The 22,771-nt window shown below is 36.1% G+C and overlaps 1 protein-coding gene across 3 annotated transcripts in view; it reads left to right on the top strand.

Moving 5' to 3' along the window:
• NME7 (NME/NM23 family member 7) overlaps positions 1-22,771 on the top strand; it is a 235,267-nt gene that overhangs the window by 168,766 nt on the left and 43,730 nt on the right. Inside the window, exon 11 of one of the 3 annotated variants that reach the window (NR_104229.2) lies at positions 8,327-8,389. The exons of the other annotated variants lie outside the window; for them this stretch is intronic. The gene's annotated coding sequence lies outside the window, so the exon portion shown is untranslated. The remainder of the gene's footprint in view (positions 1-8,326; positions 8,390-22,771) is intronic. 3 annotated transcript variants of the gene reach the window in all.

The raw sequence follows: 22,771 nt of genomic DNA, 5'->3' as shown, positions 1-22,771 counted from the left end.
ACATTTTATGAAATCGAAATACAAGTCAATGTAAGAACATCTTTTTTGTTTTATAATTACCTAGGTGGCCTGTCTGGTAATTTAATTCTTTCAGAGAAGTCTTTTTAAAAAGGAAAATAAGAAAATCTTTGTGTAAAAATTGAGCAAGGTCTATACATGTGATTTTTAACAGCTTTATTGAGGTGTAATTCACATACCAATATGATTCACTTGTTTAAAAACATATAGCTCAGTGGTTTCCATCACCACAATTTTAGAATATTTTCATCACTTCAAAAACAAGCCCTATACCTTTTGGCTATCATTTGCCTACTTCCCACCTCACCCTCAGCCCTAGGCAATCACTAATCTACTTTCTATCTCTATAGATTTTCCTGTTCTGGACATTTCATATGAATGAGATCATATAATATGTGGTCTTTCATGACTGGCCTTTTTCATGTAGCATAATATTTTTAAGGTTCATCCACATTGTATCATGCATTCAGTACTTTATTCCTTTTTATGGCTAAATCATAATCCATTGTATGGATATACCAGATTTTGTTTATTCTTTCATCAAATGATAGACGTTTGGGTTGTTTCTATCTTTTGGCTATTATGACTGATGCTGCTGTAAACACTGTGTACAAGTTTTTGTGGGAATATATGTTTTCAGTTATCTTGAGTATATTCTTAATAGTAGTATTGCTGAGTTATATGGTAACTGTGTTTAATCATTTGAAAAACTAGTAGAGTTTTTTCCAAAATGGCTGCACCATTTACCATTTTACATTACCACTAGCAGTATTTGAGGGTTCTCACTTCTCCATATTCTCACCAGTATATGTTAGTATGACTTTTTAATTCTAGCCATCTCAGTGGGTGTGAAGTGATGTCTGATTGTGGTTTTAATTTGCATTTCCCTATTGACTAGTGATATCGAGTATCTTTTTATGTGCTTATTGGCCATTTGTATATCTTCCATGGAGAAATACCTATTCAGTTCTTTGCCTATTTTTAAATTAAGTCATTTTTATTATTGACTTGTAAGAGTTATATGTTATCAATAAAAGTCCCTTATCAGAGATATAATTTGCAAATATTTTCTCCCATTCTGTGGGCTGTCTGTTACTTTTCTTGTTGGTGTCCTTTGAAGCAGGAAGTTTTTTAACTTAGATTAAGTCTAATTTATCTATTTTTTGCTTTTATTGCTTATACTTTTGGTGTCATATCTGAGAATCCTTTGTCAAAGCCAGCATCATAAAGGTTTTACTCCTATGTTGTCTTCTAAGAGTTCTAAAATTGTAGGTCTTGCTTTTAGGCCTTTTATTCATTTTGAGTGAATTTTTGTATATGGTGTGAGGTAAGGATTGAACTTCATTTTTTTGCACATTGCTATCCAGCTGTTGAAACATTATTTGTTGAAAAGATTATTATTTCCCCCATTGGTTGGCCTTGGCAACTTTGTTGAAAATCAGTTGAAAGTGGATGTATATATTTATTTCTGAGCTCTCAATTCTATTCCATTAATCCATATGTCTATCTTTGTGCCATGTGTACATTTGATCTTTAGGTATTTTCTTGTTTTGTCTTATTTTTCTCCTAGAGAATGTTGACATCTAAGAATACACACACACACACAGAGTAGTTTTTAATTAATACACAGTTTTTAGTCATGATTATAGAGCTAACTAGACATCAGAAATGAATCATCCAGAATTACACACTTAAATATGAATATGAATAGAAATTTCATAAATAAATTTCATAAACCTGAAATTTTTCTAAATAAAATCTAAAAGCATAGTTTTTATTTTGACAAGTATTATATTTTTCCAAAAATCTTTTTCAATTTATAAAGCAGTTAAATATAGAACATTTCATTTTGGTCCTAAGGCTAATATGGTGAAATATAGGTACTCTTATTTACTTATATTATTGTAACTCCATTTTATCTATGAAAAAACAGAATCATGAAAACATGAAGTGATCTGTCCAGGTCACTCACTCAGCTTAAGACAAATCTGCACAAATTTCCTAACCCCGTTCTGTACTCTGGCTACTCTATCAGGCTACCTCTATACTGTTAGATTAGGAATCAGCATCTTATTATATAAAATATTTTCTCTAATTATAACAAGTATATCAAAGGCTTTTATATACAAGAGGACTGCATCCTGGGATCTTGAATCTCCAGTTTTCATACCATTCTAGCAAATAACTTGCTGCGTAGCCGTATGCTCAGTCGTCAGTAGAGAATGACAGAGCCTCATGTTATGTGAGCAGCTTGGTAGGATGCACTCACTAGCTGAGTGATTTGCTCCCACTCACCAGCCTCTGCAGTATTACAAATTAGTGCACATCACATACTTTTAGAATTTCTCTTAAGTAGTTGAAGTTGCAAATATTAAATCTCTAAATTTCAAGCCTTTATTAATTGTGAAAGTATCCTAATGATTTTCTACACTGTGGTTCTTTTCTAAAACTAATTCTTACTTACCGCTTTTATTTATTCAACCATGTATCAAGTGCTTTTTATGTGTCAGACAATGCCAAGCATGCGGATACTGCAGTAATGGCACAAAAAAATCCCTTTTCTCACAAAGTTTTTGTTCTAATAGAAAGACAGACAACAAATGAGTAAAATAAGTACTGTGAGAATAAGGAAGCAATATGAGAGATGGGGAGTGCTTTGAGAAGGAAGCCTGTCTGAAGATTGATAACCTTGAACATGGCATTAATGAGTGCTGCTGCTACATGGTCAAAAGAAATGGTTGCGCTTTAAACAAATACTGTTCTGTGATAGGCCAAAGAGAAGTTAAGAATAGCATGAAGAATAGAATATAGTTGTAAGAATATTTCAAGATAAGATTCTTCCAGCAAATTTAGCTTTCTTATGCCTTTGGATAACAGTAACAACAATGAAACACCATCCATATATCATCCACAATTTATTCGCAGAAATCCAAATTGGTACTTAGTTACCTCAGTTATTTGTGCTTAGTAGTATTTGTGCTTGAATATCTCATTCTCAAAGAGATCAAAGCCTACCTTTTCCCACCCACATTTATAGTTGTAACAGCCTAACACTCAATTACTTATCCTACTATATTTGGTTTTACTTTCTTCTGTAACAAGTAAGTATTAGCTTCTAAACATACTATACCATTTACTATTGAACACACTTATTTTTTGTTTCCTTTCACTAGCATGCAAGCTCTTGGAAGGAAAGGATTTTTGGTTTTTCACTGATATATTCAGAAAAGTGTCTGGTACATAGTAAGAACTCAGTATATATTTTTGAGAGAATGAGTGTTAGTAAAAGATGAATTAAATGTCCATTCTGTATTGTTTAAATACACATCTCATGAACTATTTGTTATGACTGCTATATCCAGTTAATGACCCAGAAACTTGATAACGATTTGCTCTAATCCTCAGTTCCCTTCAAGGTAAACTTTCTGATGTTCATCTTATAGTTGGAGAAATGAGGCTCAAAGAACCTAATTTTAAAACCTTTTTAAAAAAGTATCTTTTGACCAGACATAGTGGCTCATGCCTATAATCCCAGTACTTTGGAAGGCTGAGATGGGAGGATCACTTGAGGCCAGGAATTCAAAACCAGCTGGGAAAAATAAATATAAAAATAAATAAATAAGTAGATAAATAAATAAGCCAGGTGTGGTGGCACATGCCTGTAGTCCCAGCGACTCAGGAAGCTGAGGTGGGAGGATCCCTTGAGCTCAGGAGTTTGAGGCTGCAGTGAGCTATGATTGTGCCTGGGTGACAGAGCAAGATTGTTGTCTCTAAAATAAAATTAAAGAATTTTAAAAGTATCTTTTTATTGTTTCCAAAAGACATATTCTTATTAAAAAGCCAGCATCTTAACTCTGTTCTACCTGGTTCCATCTTGAATTGTTTGTGTTTTATAATGTCAAGAATATATTTCCAAATTATAATTGCATATAATGCAAAAAACATGTTTTGAATGCCCTTAAAGCATTTAAGAATATAATTCTGCTGCTGAGTTAGTCTCTGGTCTGTTCTCCATGATTTCTGTCTGTGATAATAGTACTAATATATATGTTGTAGATGAGAGTGGTAACATTCTAAACACCAACCTCAAAAGATTAGTTGTATAATATTCCAGTTAACTTCAGTAACCAATCATGAAACTGTCACCCATGGAATTTTAACTCTTTGAGGATATTTGCCTAAGTATCCTTTTGGATTAGGTACTTTTTCTGACTCTGCCCCTAACATTTTGAATTTAGTTTTGACTTTGCCTGCTTCTCTGGCCTTAGCATCTTCTATTACAGCTAAGAATTGTCAAAAGACAAAATTACAACAAATTTAGTTTAAAGATCTTAATTGACTTTTATTTGTGATACTAGAATTGGGCAACACCTCATTCTGTAAAATAGAATGAGTGCCCCAATAAGCTGAGCAGTTGGTTTTATAGTCACAAAAGGACTGAGGAAAGCAGAAACAGAAAACAAAAAGTGGGTTGGTTATTTCAAAATTAATTTCCTTGTAAAGGTTAAAGCAGAGAGGATTTTCTTATCATGCCAGCTAAAACTTGAAGATTTTGCTATTATCTCTCACTCTCCTGATCTCTCAGAAAGTCAGATAAACTGAGTTTTGGCTTGGTAACATGGAACTTTACCATCTGTGACTCCATTTTGGTTTGGTGTGTTGGGCCTTTTGCAGGAAGGAGTTCAGTCCAGACCAGTGGGCTCCTATCAATATTATTTAAACAGAACTATGTCGCCCTGTCTACTTCCAAACCCACCTTCTTGTCCCTTGCCTTCCATTCCATGTGTGCCACCTTAGCCCCCATAGGGATTGAGAAATTTTGATAGCTGTCTTCTTCCATAGTGTACTTTTTCTTTTTTTAATCTCTATGTTTTTATTTCATTTTGGAATTCAACTGGTTTTTGTTTCCCCATTCCTTAACTCATTTTCATTTCCCTACTCCTTGTATCAGTCTTTTTTGCCTCGCTATTTTTCAGTATGTTTATCTGAATGATTCTCATAAAAAGTGCCTTTCAGTTCCTTCATTTTTTCTTTTTTCTTTTTAAAACTATTCTTCCCTAGTGATTTTTTTTTAACTGCTCTTTGGCTGCATTCACTATTTTTCTTTTTTTTTAACAAGTGATACTGTTTTCTTTAAGATCTCAGCTTAACATTTTACCTCTTTTATTTCTTTCCACTCTCTTTTTATTCTTAGAATAAATATGTTCGTTGTTCTGAATATCTTTAAAAATAACCCTATTCCAATCAGACATGTCCCTATCACAGTCAGAAGGAGGGGCTCAAGTTTCCCTAAAAAGTGCACATTAGGAATGGAGCATAGCCACCAGCTGGAGCTGCTAGCATTTCAAAATCTCAGGAGGCTGCAGCAACATGTGCCAGGCCTTATCTCTGTAATACACATGTGCTGCTTGTCAGTTTCAAATGTTAACCCTCAGCAGCATTACTTAAAGTCAGTAGGCTTTGTGTTGTGATGGAAGGAAAATATTTTTAAATCTTCTTGAGACCCTGGGAAACTACCGCTTTTGGACATGAAAGAGCCTGCCACCTTACAAATCCATCAATAAGTAAAAGCCACTGACACCAGTGCCATGTTTCAGTTCAGTTAAGTTGGCATGAATAGTACTGAGCCATGGTGTTCTCAGGATGTAATTACTAAGGCGTTTTATTTATATCGCAGTGAAACAATCCTACCACTTGCAAGGACAAAAAGAGAGACTTTGGGGGCCCTTAAATGTAATCAGCAGACATGTGCCACCCTTTCACCTTTGTATGTTGATTTTTGTTTAGTGACACTGTAGCAAAACAATAACCATTAGCTCCAGATAGTAAGTATGTACAAGCATGATCTTTATTATTATTATTATTTGTGGAGATGGGGTCTCACTGTATTGCCCAGGCTGGTCTCAAACTCCTGGCCTTAAGTGATCCTCCTGCCTCAGCTCCCAAAATGTTGGGATTACAGGTATGAACTACTGCACCTGGCCAAGCATGATCTTTTTAAAAGCACTTAATTGAAATATAATGAAAATATTAACTCACGGTATATATATTTCAGGAATTGACTATTCATATTATAAAATAATTCTATATTTTCCAAAAGAATTCCTTTCAGGAGTGCTTCAAAAAGGAGTTTTCCTGCATTCTAAATAAATCCTAAATTTAATATATTTGTTTAAAAAATGAAATACACACAGTTTGGGGAAAACAGCCTGGCCTTATTCACAGAAGGCTGTATATTTGTACATCATGCATACTGTTTTCAAGTTACCATAACTAAGTTGTTCAGACCAAATAGTTTTTCTCCACACAATAACCATACCAAGAGCTCTAGGTATATAAAATTTACAGAACTGTTACAGAGTAAACTTATGCAAAGGAGGGTTGAGTATTACCATACTCCCTTTTTTCTTATTTTCCAAGTAAAGTACTCCTCGGTATTTGAGGGAGATTGGTTCCAGGACCCCTCAGATATCAAAATCTGAGATGCTCAAGTCCCTGATATAAAATAGTGTAGTAATTGCATATGATCTATGCACATCTTCCTTTATCATCTCTAGTTTACTTATACCTAATACAATGTAAATGCTATGTAAATTTTGTTATACTATATTGTTCAGGGAATAATAAGAAAAAAAGTTTGTATATGTTCTGTATAGGTGCAATTTTTTTTCAAAATATTTTTTGATCCCAGATTGTTTGTGTTCACGGATACAGAATCTGCGGATACAGAGGGCCAGCTATACTGTCTTTCCTTTAAGATGTCTCCAGCTGCCCCAATCTTGAGTGACCTTTGCCTTCCTTCAAACTCCTATGCCGTTAATTGTCTACACCTCTCACCTGGCAGTTGTCATATGCTTCTTGTATAGTTTATCTTTTATGTATATTTACTTCCTAGTCTAGGAACTAACTAGAGAAGTCTCTTTACACCTTTTTGGTATCTCCAATACTTGAAAAATGCTCTTAAAACAGTGCTTCTCAAACATCCATGTACTGTGCATAGAAAACACCTGGGGATCTTGTTGAATTGAAAATTGTGATTCAGCTGGTCTGGGGTGGGGCCTGAGATTCTACATTTATGACAGACTCCCATGTGATGTGATGCAGCTGGACCACAGACCACATTCTGAGTGACCAGTGTCTGTCAAACCTTCAGCAAATGTTTATTGATGATGCCATTTTTTTTTTCAGAAAAAGGATAAGAGATTTAAATTTGTTAAGTGCTGCATTTTTATGTAATATGCAAATAGCACTAAGACTGAACTGAGATATTGATTGAAAAAATACGCTGAATGATTGAAGATGTTAGATATCTTTTTTTCTGATTTCTCCATCTGATCAATAGGAATGGACTTTAGCTTATCCATTTTCATTAATACCAGACTGGATGAGATTATACGTGAATAACTTCTACTTCTGTCTTCACTAGATTCAGGCTGAAAAGCAAAAGTCTTTATAACACATTTCTAGTCACGTAAATAATACAAACTTTTTCTAACTTTTCTCTTATTTGGGACACCTAGCTTTGCGGAGCAGATGGTTTTCCCAGTAAACTCTTAGATTCTATAGGTATCACATTTCAGGGTCAAGAATTACGCATATCCTCAGTATAAACTCTGTAAAGACTTTTTTTCTCTTGTTTGATGGAACTCAAAAATGGAGCAATAATAGTTATCAACAAGCAATGAGTCTGAGTCCTCAGGCTTTAATGGCAACCAACAAACCCATGCTCCTTATTGCAGAGGAAGAGTGCATTGTTGATTCGCTTTATATCCCCAAATAGAAAACACGTTAAGGGTAATCCTGGGAAATTATGCTTACTTCAAACCTTGATTGCCAACACTGAAGTGTCTAAATAGCACTTCACCATTTTTCTGGTTGTTTTCTTAGAAACAGTTCACTTGCGGCCGGGCGCGGTGGCTCACGCCTGTAATCCCAGCACTTTGGGAGGCCGAGGCGGGTGGATCACGAGGTCAGGAGATCGAGACCATCCCGGCTAAAACGGTGAAACCCTGTCTCTACTAAAAATACAAAAAATTAGCCGGGCGTAGTGGCGGGCGCCTGTAGTCCCAGCTACTCGGGAGGCTGAGGCAGGAGAATGGCGTGAACCCGGGAGGCGGAGCTTGCAGTGAGCCGAGATCCCGCCACTGCACTCCAGCCTGGGCGACAGAGCGAGACTCCGTCTCAAAAAAAAAAAAAAAAAAAAAAAAAAAAAAAAGAAACAGTTCACTTGCTTCCTTCCTGTGATAAATGCCATATTTATTTTAGTATGAGTCAACCTACACTTTTTTTATATTGCCTCTCTCCCCAGACCCCCAAATCTCCAATTTCTCACAAGTGAATTTAGGCAAACTAAAGAAGACATCTCTGTTCCGTGAGTATTAAAATCAAACATTTTTAAATGTAAGTTATAAAAATAACACTTTCATTGTTTTCTTCCTAATTACTAAAGTAGTCCATGTTTATTACCCCTATTCCACCTCCAAAAAAAAAAGAAGAAAAATTATGGAAAAGAGTCAAGACCTAATAGACTAAAAATTTTAAAACTATTCTTGTTTGCCTACTTCTCAGAAATAAACACTGTAAAATAAACATTTTGACCTGACCTCAAACCATTGTCTTTTTATATATATATTATAAAAATAAAATTAAGATTATATAATCATTACTACTTTGTAACATCCTTTTTAAATTAAAAAATATATTGTGGTCTTCTCTAATATCATTAAATATATTTCCATAACATGGTTGTTAACAGCTGCATAGTGTTCCAGCATATGGATTAACTAACCATTCCCCTACTGTTGATTTTTTTCTAATTTTTATATAAGAGGATGTTGCAGAGACCAGACTTATACATAAATGTTTGTACAAGTTTTTACCTTGGAACTAATTTCTAGAGGTAAAATTGCTAGGTCAGAGGATAAAAGATGTTCATTTATAATTTGTTTCATCTTGCCCTTTCTAAAACGACAGAAGTAGTTTAATAGAACTTTGACTTATATTATTTCATAGTTTCTTTTGAAAATTATTTTCTCTCAATAGCAAAACTTTTGTTGGCTCCTGACGTACATTAATATACAAAAGAGCTACTTAATATTTGGAACACGAATTAACCTGAGGAGTTCATAAACAGTAGGCATTGCAATGAACAGCATTTATCAACTTGACTTACCAGCTTACACTGCCATAGTTCTGTTATAGTCATGTCACATTTGAGACATTAGTTGTACAAACAGTACATGAAGCAACTCACATGAATTTTAATTGAGAATGAATATTTGCCAAAACAGTAATTTGTCTTTTTAAGTCTTTGTTTCATATGCAGAGAATTTTATTTGTTAAGCATAGTGTACTCAGAGTCAGGCCAATCAGAAATAATATAAGAAAAGAAAAACTGGTTAACTCTTTCTATCTATATTAGTCTAAGGAGTACCAGGGCTAACAAATCTTGATAGTATGCTAATTTGTTGTGTTTCAAAACTTGCTCTTTATCCTGTTGCGAAAGCTGAATTCAATAGAAAAATGATTATATTTTTAAAATAAATGAATTACATGAGCCCACAGCACTGATTTTAAAGTAGGACTTGCATTGATACAGTTTATTGAATAAAGCAAAAATTTTTACAAGTATTTTATAAGTTTAAATAGCAAATTGAAATTGTGCGAAAATAATGATTTTGTGATTATTAAACATTCATTGTTTTAAGAGTGCATGTAACAAAAAGTATCTGTAGTTACCTAACACTATAATAGTTAAAATACCTGTTAATATGTATAAGTTAACTCTACATTTTTGTAAAAGTTTACAACATTGTCATTGTTGTGTTCATTTATTTATTTTAAACTTCCTTTTTTAGTAAAAATGTAAGGCCATTTATAAAATTTATGCAATATAATAAAATAAAGTGAATGAGGAAATCAAGACAGAGAGCAAATGAGGCTCTAAACAATAAAATGCATGCCATGAAATCCTGTACTTTTGTTATGGGTAGCCACATTATTACTCAGCTTTTAGACTTCCACCCAATCAAATTATATGACTGACAGTGTCCATGACAAGCAAATTAGTTGCTCACAAAAAGCCCAACTTTTCCTGATACCTAATAGAAAATTCCCTCATGGATCTCAAATGAAGACACTATGTGATCCAGCATTCACTGTCCTCAATAACTACCAGTTTCTTAGAATATTCCTTTTAAGATGCTTATGGTATCACCTCAGTGTGTAACAATTATATGAGAAGTCAAAATGATCTGATCCCACAGCTGGTGCAATATAGGAATAGAGTTTTAAAGGAAAAGATGTGTTTGTTGTGTTCCCTTAAGCAATCTTCTATACCTGTTCTTTAAGTCAAGGTTTTGATTAATACCGAATGACAATAGGTTCAGAGTTAAACTTTCTGAAAAATAGCTGGAATGTGGTTATTGTATGTCCACATGCAAGTGCAGAGCAGTGTGCTTCACCTCTTAGCCAAGCCAGGTGTGCTCTTTGTGGAGATTCAGAATAGCATGGACATTCAATTGAATGGATGGATACCCCTAATGAGGGAGTACCCAGGCAGGACCTGAACTCATTCCCAATAATTTGTTGCATAGACGTGATTGAACAATCAAGTTTCCAAAGCTCTGTAGTATAGATCATGATTGTACAGCTTTAGCCTGAAATTTATAAAATAAGCAGGTGTGATCAGTTGCTTGCCCTATGCCATGAAATAAAACACCCACACATTCAAACAAAGCAAAACAAAAACCATCAATAAAATACTTATAGACATTTGTCTTTGAAGCTGTTATTTTCTGATGTACTCTCCAAGATGAACTTCGTACAAAATATACCTTAAGGGCAGCCAGAGAGAAAGGTCGGGTTACCAACAAAGGGAAGCCTGTCAAACTAACAGCAGATCTCTCTGCAGAAACCCTACAAGCCAGAAGAGAGTAGGGGCCAATATTCAACATTCTTAAAGAAAAGAGTTTTCAACCCAGGATTTCATATCCAGCCAAACTAAGCTTCATAAGCGAAGGAGAAATAAAATCCTTTTCAGACAAGCAAATGCTGAGAGATTTTGTCACCACCAGGCCTACCTTACAAGAGCTCCTGAAGAAAGCACTAAATATGGAAAGGAAAAACCAGTACCAGCCACTGCAAAAACATACCAAATTTTAAAGACCACTGACACTATGAAAAAGCTGCATCAACTAACGGGTAAAAACCCCAGCTAGCTAATGACAGGATCAAATTCACACATAACAATATTAACCTTAAATGTAAATGGGCTAAATGCCCCAATTAAAAGACATAGACTGGCAAATTGGATAAAGAGTCAAGACCCATCAGTGTGCTGTATTCAGGAGACCCATCTCACATGCAAAGACACACATAGTCTCAAAATAAAGGGATGGAGGAATATTTACTAAGCAAATGGAAAGAAAAAAATAAAAAAGCAGGGTTCGCAATCCTAGTCTCTGATAAAACAGACTTTAAACCAACAAAGATCAAAAAAGACAAAGAAGGGTATTACATAATGATAAAGAGATCAGTGCAGCAAGAAGAGCTAACTATCCTAAATATATATGCACCCAATACAGGAGCACCAAGATTCATAAAGCAAGTTCTTAGAGACCTACAAAGAGACTTAGACTCCCACACAATAATAGTGGGAGACTTTAACACTCTACTCTCAATATTAGACAGATCAACGAGACAGAAAATTAACAAGGATATTCAGGACTTGAACTCAACTCTGGACCAAGCAGACCCAATAGACATCTACAGAACTCTCCACCCGAAATCATTCTTCTCAGCACCCACATCGCACTTATTCTAAAATTGACCACATAGTTATACATAAAACACTCCTCAGCAAATGCAGAAGAACGAAAATCATAACAGTCTCTCAGACCACAGTGCCATCAAATTAGAACTCAGGATTAAGAAACTCACTCAAAACTGCACAACTACATGGAAACTGAACAACCTGCTCCTGAATGACTACTGGGTAAATAACAAAATTAAGGCAGAAATAAATAAGATAAATAAGTTCTTTGAAACCAATGAGAACAAAGACACAGCATACCAAAATCTCTTCAACACAGCTAAAACAGTGTTTAGAGGGAAATTGATAGCACTAAATGCCCACATCAGAAAGCTGGAAAGATCTAAAATTGACACCCTAACATCACAATTAAAAAAACCAGAGAAGCAAGAGCAAACAAAAGCTAGCAGAAGACAAGAAATAACTAAGATCAGAGCAGAACTGAAAGAGATAGAGACACGAAAAACCCTTCAAAAAATCAGTGAATCCAGGAGCTGGTTTTTGGAAAGATTAACAAAATAGACTGCTAGCCAGACTAATAAAGAAAAAAAGAAGATTCAAATAGACACAATAAAAAATGATAAAGGGGATATCACCTACTAATCCCACAGAAATACAAACTACCATCAGAGAATACTGTAAACATCTCTACTCAAATAAACTAGAAAATCTAGAGGAAATGGATAAATTCCTGGACACATACACCCTCCCAAGACTAAACCAGAAAGAAGTTGAATCCCTGAATAGACCAATAACAAGTTCTGAAATTTAGGTTTTTAAATGAATCTTAAGTATGAAATATATTGTACATAGTCAAACCCCTCAGAGCAATAGAGCATTCAAATCCTTAGCCTGTGTGTTCCTATGAAGCCTGTCCAAATAAGTTGCAAAATAGTGTCTAGAGCCTGCAATCCTGTCCGTGGTGCTATTTTGTTATTTGTGTGAGTCTCAGGTTTCAATTCTCAACCTAATGAAGTACCATTTAAAAGCAACAATTAGAGAAGCAGCCACATCTCTTCCCTTTTGCAGTAGAAATACTCTAATTTTATTACAATTCCCCAATGTAAATTCTGGTTGGTCTTCCTGTATTGCCTAGAGTTCATCTTTACCCATTTTGCAATTCAATCTGTTTGGTGCATTTCTACTTATATATTTTTAAAAATATGTGTATTTTATAAATACTGGTGTATAGTTTTTGAATGCTCAGAAGATTGAAAGGCCTAGAGAAGATTCAGTCCAATGCAAACATCATATATTAAGTACTTCCTTGTGTCAGAGGTACTGAATGCTGTAAGGGATACTAAGATGAGTAAGACACAATCTCTAATTCTAATGTATTTATCAACTCTAGGAAGAGACATTCACAACTAAGTTTTTGCATGCTAAGTAAATATTAATTGAACAATTCGACACCTATTATGTACTTGGCACTGTTCTTGGCATCTGGATATAGCAGGGAATAATACAGTTCTGATCTGTGCTCTTACAGAGGGACAGACAACATAAAATTTTAGTTACAATATAAATCACTGTGCTAAAATACCCTTTGTAGCACAGAGGTTTATTAACTCTAGCTATGGATTAAGAAATGCTTCATGGAAGTGACAATTTTTCTAGAGTCTTAGAGTTTCATTGACCAGAAAAGAAGAGGAAAAACAAGCTAAGGGAAAGCACAGCATAAACACATAATGGCAAGATGTGAAAGTATTAATAAGCTTCACCCCATTCTGTTTGACAGGGATTTTGAATATCACAGAGAAAATACACAGGACTCAATGGAAGTTTTGTAAAGAGGTTTACTGTTATGACAAATATGTATGTTCTCTTTTTTATCCTGGGTCAAATTTCATCTGCCTTTTTCACTTCTAAATATTTTCTAAAGCATAAATCATGTAGAAGTGTATGAAGGAATGATGAGGCTGAAAGAGTAGCTCAAGCAAGATGAAAAAGTTCCTTGAATTGTCGTGTCTTATTTTGGACTTATTAATTGTTGGACTTACAAACAGTGGAGGCCCATCAGAGGTGTTTGAGTCAGGAAGAAATTGTATCATGCTGACTCTCAATTGCATTTTGCTGAACTAAAGTAGTAGCTTTAGTTCAGAATGGAAAGAAGTTCACAGAACCAAGAGGATCCTGTGAAACGTTGCATGGGTACCCTAGAGTTCCCTCTTTTGTGCTCCCCTTATAGCACTTTGCATATATCTCTAGTAGAGCTCTTGTTACACTGTGAGTGCTTTTAGAGTGTTGTGTTGAAGTCAGCTTGCACCAGCTTGCAAGATCTAATTGTTAGTATCACTTTCCAATTCTATGCTCTGCCTTGGTAGGAATATTTACACCATGAAAATGAGCAAACAATACAAATCTGTTTTTTATTGTTGTTTTTTGAAAACTGTTAAACAGTTACTAGCACATCACCGACTGTTTATTAACATGTCTGACTTCTTATAAGACTGTGACCATTTAGAATAAAAATACCATCTTATTTTTATTTCCTTATTTCTAGCCCAGTACCTCACAAATTATAGGTATCAATAAATATTTATTGAATATGTAGAGGGACAGATTAACAAATGAGATCAACAAATTAGGTAATGACCAATTGATTTTGGGAATGGATGAAATGGTTGGAAATAGCCCTATATTATGTAGCCTGAACATTTGGTAATAGTGATACTACTAGAAACTGAAGAAGAAAAACTGAGTTGAGAGGGAGAGGCAGAGGGAGGGATCATAGGGGAAGATAATTGTTTTGATTTGGGACATGTTGTGTTTGAGGTACTGTCAAAAGACCAGGATTAGAGATGCCCAGCATTCACTCCAGTTACTATCAAATGACAGTTTTGAAATTACTTTTCCTGTGACTTTCTAAAATACTTAACTATACAGACTAGTTGAAGTTCAAAGTTATTTATTTTTTTAAAAGATTGCTTCATTTCAATAGTACAAGAGAAAATTGCATTTTTATAATACATTCTGAACACTACGTTTGCAGGGAAAAGCAGAGATCAGATAGCCTAGAAGAGAATGACTGAGGAAATGGAATTTTGTTTTTTTTTTTAAAAACAATGTAAGTGTGTTTCAAGATCATAGTCACAGTTTACAATTCTATTAGGAAGAGAAAAATGAATTTTGGGGGAGGATAAAGTTAAAGTTACCTTTTAGAATATAACTCCTAATAAAAAGTTTTTCTTTTCAAAAAAGCTATTATAATGTGACCATGAGAAAAAAAAATCTTTTTACAATAAAGTATTAGGGAAGTAAAAACAATATACTTTCAGAAGGCAATAACTTTACATTACCTAAGAAATGGCATATTCTGATTTAGTAAATGTTCTCATTAATAGGATAATACAGTATAATCTGTACACATAGGGCTTTTCTTTTTTTTTTCTTTTTTTCTGAGATGGAGTCTCGCTCTGTCGCCTAGGCTGGAGCACAGTGGCGTGATCTCGGCTCACTGCAAGTTCTACCTCCCGGGTTCACGCCATTCTCCTGCCTCAGCCTCCCAAGTAGCTGGGACTACAGGCGCCTGCCACCATGCCCGGCTAATTTTTTTGTATTTTCAGTAGAGATGGGGTTTCACCATGTTAGCCAGGATGGTCTCAATCTCCTGACCTCGTGATCCGCCCGCCTCAGCCTCCCAAAGTGCTGGGATTACAGGCGTGAGCCACTGTGCCCGGCCAGGGCTTTTCTTAAGAAATATGTAACCAAGAAAATATACTTGACTTGCAACTATAGTGAACAGAGTTTATTCTTTTCTTTATAAATGGGAGTCTTGCCTCAAGATCATATATAAAGATGTGAGTTATTGCTTATAGAGGTGTATATATTTAAAATATATAATAGTAATAGACATGTCTAACATAAGATGAAAGATTATTTATTATATGTGATCTCTCATGTTTAGAGTGAATTGGTCTTTTCTATGCTATGGATATTCACCAGAAGATTAAGTAGTTCTTTGGGGAATAGTCTTAATATCTCAACTGGAAAAGTCATTTATGAGCATGCACTTATAAACTTAATGCTATTCTAGTGGATTAGTCCAATTCCACATATTTGTCACATGGCATTTTATATCTGTGATGAAACAGTAATATTATCCTCAATCAAAGTCACAGAGCAAGTTACTTTCAGAGCTATGGATTAGAGCTTAGAGTTCTCATTTCCATTCTCAGGCAGGTGTGTCCTAGTTTGAGAAAATGTGATACACAAAACCACCACCTCACAAAATAGATAAATGGTGGTTACTTAGATTTCAAAAGGATGTTCTTCGGGGTTCCTTAAAATAGGCACTTCTGAAGGATCTAATATAGCCTAAGGAGCCCAGACTATTGGTAACCAAGAGGCCTAGTTTCTCTACCCTATCATTAACAAAGTTAATGGGGTATATAAATTTGAGCATGTTAGTCATTCCATTCATCCATTCACTTATCCACTAAATCATTAATATTTTATTCAATGAATCTTTCATGAGGATTCTGTGTGTTGGATATAAAAAGGTTGTAGTCCTTGTTTTTAAGGAGTTAAGACAGAAGGGTAAACAAACAGTACATTTTTAATGGTAGAGGTAATGCAGCCTGTTAGCAGACCACTAAAACCTAAACAAGATGTGAAGGTGAACTGTGATAGTAGGAGTAGACTTGGAAAGTAAGGAAAGAATGCTATGCTAAAGAAATAGAATCTGTGTGACTTGGTAACAAATTAGATGGGGGGCCCAAAAGGGAGAGAGAGGAGTCTTAGGATGACTCCCAAGCTGTTGGCCTAGGTAACTTGGTGTAAGAGTGGTGCCATTTATGACGAGAGGGAATTTAGGAAGAGGGGGAGTTTTGGGAGGAAGACAATGAGGTTAGTTTTGTGCAAGCTGAGTATAAGAGCCCTGTGGGGGCCAGGCACATTATAGCTCATGCCTGTAATCCCAGCACTTTGGGAGGCCAAGGCAGGAGATCTCTGAGGCCAGGACTTCAAGACTAGCCTGGTTAATACAGCAAGACTTTATCTCTACAGAGTTGTTTTTTTTTTTTTTTAAATTAGCTAGTTGTGGTGGCATGCACCTGTAGTCCGAGCTACTCTGGAAGCTGAGGCAGGAAGGTCACTTGAGCCCAGGAGTTCAAGGCTGCAGTGAGCATTAGGCAGTTGTATAGTCCAGCCTGCAACTCAGAAAAGAGAACTGGGCAGTAGTTAAAGAGTCGTCTAAAGATATATGATAGTAGTGAATGAAATTGCCCAGGGAGAGCCAGAAGATAAGAGGAGAATATGGAGTGGACCCTAGGCAGTAGGAAGGTGGAAATAAAGGAGCCTGAGAGGAACAGTCAGGAGGAGATCCTGGACTGTGGTATCATGTGGGCTGAGTAAATGGAGGGCTTCAGGAATAATGGAATGGTCCAGAGTAATAAATGCTGAAGACAAGTCACAAATTGAGAGAATCTATGGGCAATTAGGAGAATATCAGTGTCCTTTGCCAAAGCGGTTTAGATAGTGTTGTGAGGCAAAAGGCTGAAGAGTAAATGAAAGTGGAGCTTATTAAGACTTCTAAAAAGGAGGGGAAGAGGTAGGACAGTAATTAAAATTGTCTATTTGTTAAGTGATGGGAGAGACATGAGCATTTTGATAGGATGCATAAAATAAACTTGAAAAGAGAAAGGTTGAAAACACAGGCGAAAGGTAATTATAATGAAGGAAGTTTCCTGACCTAGAGTTGCAAAGAGATGGGAGGGTTAATTATCAAAAGAAGAAGAAATGGCACTTTCTTTGGCACTGAATGGAAAGGGGGAAGGGAAGGATAATGTGTGTGTATATATGTGTGTGTGTGTGTGTGTGTGTGTGTGTGTGTGTGTAGGAATTTGAGGGAGCTGAATCTCTTGATATCAGTCTTAATTTTTTTTTCTGTGAAGCAGGAAACAAAGTTGCTGAGAGAAAACATGTAATTGAGGATGGAGCCTTGAGGATAATGACGAACATTGGCAATGCCAGCTGTGGAGGATAAGTGGGCAACAGACATGATAAATTATAGATAGGTAGGTAGATAGATGATAGATAGATAGATAGATAGATAGATAGATAGATAAATAGATAGGATTATAGCCTAGGATGGCAGCATGAGAAATATGGTTAGATTGACTGCCCTCAAGCTTATGTTCAAGGTTTCCATTAGCATGAGAGAGGTTAATACTGCAGATATTATTAGTCTTGGCTCAGCCCTTAATGTAGAATGTTGCTCAGAAGTTAAACCTCGGTCCTGGGAGAGAGCTACTATTCTCTAGGTCTCTACTGTCCAATATGATGGCCATTAGCCACATATAGCTCTCCAGCACCTGAAACATGGCTGGTTCTAACTGAGATGTATTATACACAAAATACACACCCAGGACTTGAAAATTTAGCATAAATTAAGAATGTAAAAAAGCTCATTAATAATTTTTATTAATTACCTACTGAAATAGTATTTTGAATATATAGGGTTAAATAAATTATTTTGTTAAAATTAATTTCACTTCTTATTAATGTGGCCACTAGACAATTTTAAATTACATAGGTGGCTCACATTACATTTCTTTTTGACAACATTGCTATTGGTAATTATAGGAGAAGATTAGATGGTTTCAAAAAATGCTCACCTTGGTCTGGAATCTTAGCTGCTTACTGCAACTTTAAAGGGAATCATAGAAGACATGCGGCAGTTTAGGAAATTAACCTTTAAAGAGAGTTTGCCCCAAGTGGTTGGATCTTTGGATATACTCTTTCTTCATTGCTGGATAGGAGGTCTGAGACTGTCCGTAGAACCAAGTTACCCATATCTGTAAAAGGCAAAAACTGTCTGCCTCGTCAGCAATTGTGCTGACAAGGGGATTTGTGGGATTCCTGTGAAATAGTACATGCTTTTAAAAACACAAGTACTATATAAGTGCCTCATTGTTAGCTATGAGTTTATTTATAATACTATGAAGACAATGATTATATCTACTAAATGCCTCCAGTTTGGCCAGACACCATTAGACATTTTATGGGCATTATCTTAATTAATTCAGCCAGATAACGCTGAAGCTAGGCCTTTAAAGGCACCAAAATCTTTCTACTAACTGCTGAGACTAATGTTGCTACTCTAGGACAAATAAACCTAAATTTTATAAAATCTCTATGTTATTTTATAAATTGGATATAACTGTACTAAGATCAGTTTGTTAGACCCATTGTTTCTTTCTTTGACTGACATGCCTTTTTTTTTTTTTCCAACTTTTATTTTAAGTTCAGGGGTAAATGTTCATGTTACATGGGTAAATGTGTTCCGTGGTGGTTTGCTGCACAGATCATCCCACCACCCAGGAATTAAATCCAGCATCCACTAGCTATTCTTCCTGATCTTCTCCCTCCTCCCACCCCTGGTCCTCTGACAGGCCCCAGTGTGTGTTGCTCCCCTCCTCCCCTCCATGTGTCCCTGTGTTTTCATCATTTAGCTCTCACTTATAAATGAGAACATGCGGGTATTTGATTTTCTATTCCTGCGTTAGTTTGCTAAGGATAATGGCCTCCAGCTCCATCCATGTTTCTGCAATGGACATGATCTTGTTCCTTTTTATGGCTGCATAGTATTCCATGGTGTATATGTACATTTTCTTTATCCAGTCTATAATTGATGGGCATTTAGGTTGATTCTATGTCTTTGCTATTGTGAATAGTGTTGCAATGAACATACAGGTGCATATGTCTTTATAATAGAACAGTTTATATTCCTTTGAGTATATACCCAGTAATGGGATTGCTGGGTCAAACGGTATTTCTGCCTCTAGGTCTTTGAGGAATCACCACACTGTCTTCCACAATGGTTGAACTAATTTACATTCCCACCAACAGTGTAAAAGCATTCCTATTTCTCTGCAACCTCACCAGCATCTGTTGTTTTTTGACTTTTTAATAATAGCCATTCTGACTGGTGTGAGATGGTATCACATTGTGGTTTTGATTTGCATTTCTCTAATGATCAGTGATGCTGAGCTTTATTTCATATGTTTTTTGGCCACATGTATTAGATCCATTATTTCTGATGGTACTTTTATAACTTCACTGCTATACAAGAGGTTTTAGGCCAGGTGCGGTGGCTCATGCCTGTAATCCCAGCACCTTGGGAGGCCGAGGTGGGCAGATTATCTGAAGTCAGGAGTTTGAGACCAGTTTGGCCAACATGGTGAAACCCCATCTCTACTAAAAATACAAAAATTAGCCGGGTGTGGTGGCACATGCCTGTAATCCCAGCTACTCAGGAGACTGAGGCAGGAGAATTGTTTCAACCCACGAGGTGGAGGTTGCAGTGAGCTGAGATTGTGCCACTGCACTCCAGCCTGGGTGACAGAGCAAGACTCTGTCTCAAAAAAAAAAAAAAAAAAGAAGAGGTTTCAGCTAGAAGTCTAATTGATTATAGGTGACTTTGGAGGGAGCAATTTCAATAGAGCAGTAAAGCTGAAAACCAGATAGCAAAAAGGTACTTACTAAGTGGGAACAGGGAAAACAGCTTTCTGTAGAGATGAGGAAGAAAGATGGAGCCTCAGAATATCACTGAGAGTTCAGCTCAAGAAACAGAAACCAGCTTAGGGATGTTTTTTAAAGGAGTTCGATTCAAGGAAGTAGCTATTTACGAACTTAAGTTTCTTAAGTGTTGCAGGGCCTTAAGTCAGGAGTTGCCACTGGAGCTATTGATTTCAAGAGTACCTTCCCATACCTAGAATCCTGAAGTTGCTGCTGCCTCCACTGCTACTACCATGGCAGTGACTTAGGCATTGAGTCTGCCACAACTCAAACACTTGTGTCTCCTACCTTGTCTGCCTGTAGCAACATTAGCAAGAAGGTAGCTTCTGCTTTGTCCTGTCTTCCAAATCTCATTTAGGACTTCCACATCGCAAGAATTCTAGCCAAAAATGTGTCTGGGGAATGTAGTTTTTAGATTTCTAATTTCCATCTAGAAGGAGGATAGAATAAAGAGTTGAGAGAGTCACTCTGTAGAATCGATCACATCTGATTTCTGTTGCTTATTGTAAGCCATTTGTAAGGCAATTATTAAGAAAGAGGAGAGGCTGGGCACGGTGGCTCACGCCTGTAATCCCAGCACTTTGGGAGGCCGAGGCGGGCAGATCCTGAGGTTAGGAGATCAAGACCATCCTGGCTAACACGGTGAAACCTCGTCTCTACTAAAAATACAAAAAAAAATTAGCTGGGTGTGGTGGCGGGCGCCTGTAGTCCTAGCTGCTCAGGAGGCTGAGGCAGGAGAATGGTGTGAACCTGGGAGGCGGAGCTTGCAGTGAGCCGCGATCACGCCACTGCACTCCAGCCTGGGCGACAGAGCTAGACTCTGTCTCAAAAAAAACAAAAAACAAAAAAAGAGAATTGCTGAGCCAAGGGAAATACTGTGTGTTTTCATGCTTGAGGTAGGAAAGAGCTTGGTGCCTTTGAAAAGTTGGAAGGGGTTGATGTGACTAGTTTGAAAAGTTGGAAGGGGTTGATGTGACTAGTTCATTTCAGGTGGGGTTGGAGAGTTAAGCAGGAGCCAGAGCATGCAGGACTATAGGTTATGTTGAGAAGTTTTTCTTTAAGAGACAGGGTCTTGCTGTGTTGGCCACGATGATCTTGAACACCTGGCCTCAAATGATCCTTCCACCTTAGCCTCCCAAAGTGCTGGGGTTATAGGGATGAGCCACCACACCCAGCCCAAGAATTTTGCATTTTCTCTTAATGAAAGCATCAGAGATTCTTCGGCAGGAAAGTGGTATGATTCAACTTATGTTTTTTTAAAGCTTATTCTAACTGCTTTTTGGACAATATGTTTACTAGGAGTAGAGGTATCTAGGAAACCAGATAGACCAGCAAGTATAAAATCTAAAAGCCCAATATTCTAGGCAGGAGAATATGGTGCTAGAGTGGATATAGAAGCCGACTGATACAGGGTATATATTAGTAGTTGTATTGACAGGATTTGCCAAGAATTGGATGTTAGAAGTGCCAAGAGTGGGTCCCAGCTATTTCATTATTTTATTCCTTTGAGGAAGTTTCTGAGCATTGAATTGTAGGATTCTTTAAAATAGTAAAGCAAGACTGGATAGTAATTATGTTATAGGGATGGAGTAGAATGTGGAACGATTCTTTTGCGGGGAGATATTAAGAATGCCTCTCTTGCTTTCAGGTCCAGGGTGTTAAAATAAAAGAATGCCTCTTAAATTTTTTAGTAGTAATGTGAGTATACATTAAAGGTTAAATGTCTTAAAATGTATTTAGAAAAAAAGAAATAGGAAAATATTTACCAAAAAACCCAATCCTCTATGCTAATGTTTATGTTCTTAAATTTTAGTTGTATATGTGAATCTTTGTAGTTTTTGCTAAAATACTAAGTAATTTATATAAAAGTGAGTTAAGAGATTTTTCTGACTCTTCTTTTTTAGTTGAGCTCATCCTTCTGAAGAATGCCCAATTCTTTTAAAAAAGAACCAAGAGATCATAATTTTTACTTTTAAAAGTAACACCTGTGTCAAATAAGACTTCATTTTCACTTCAGCCAGTTCCTATTGTTGGCTGAAACAGCAAACAGATCAGTAAGAGGCAATAGTTACGATGCCATGTGGTCTATTGAAACCTAATGAAAAAGACAGGATTGAATTATCTAAATATTTCACCTGAAATAACATTTAATTGTGACCCTCTTCAGGTTCTATAAATTTACATTACAGCTATTTTTTATCTAATGAAAAGTGAGATGTGAAGCCTGTCAGAGTCCACAAGCCTGATGTTTTAGTGATTCCTCATATACAAACAATTTATGTATTTTCCAGTGCCAATAAGTGTATTTACTGTGAACCTGCAGGTGGCTCACTCAATGAGATTAGTATTATATAAATAAGTAGTTGAGTTTAATTTTGCAATTACTCTTTCTAAAGCCTATGCATAGGTTCTAGAAGGATC

This window comes from Homo sapiens, chromosome 1 (assembly GCF_000001405.40).
Source record: "Homo sapiens chromosome 1, GRCh38.p14 Primary Assembly".
NCBI classification, from domain to species: domain Eukaryota; kingdom Metazoa; phylum Chordata; class Mammalia; order Primates; family Hominidae; genus Homo; species Homo sapiens.
Note: the sequence above shows the minus strand (reverse complement) of the source record. Positions and strands in the feature narration are given on the sequence as shown.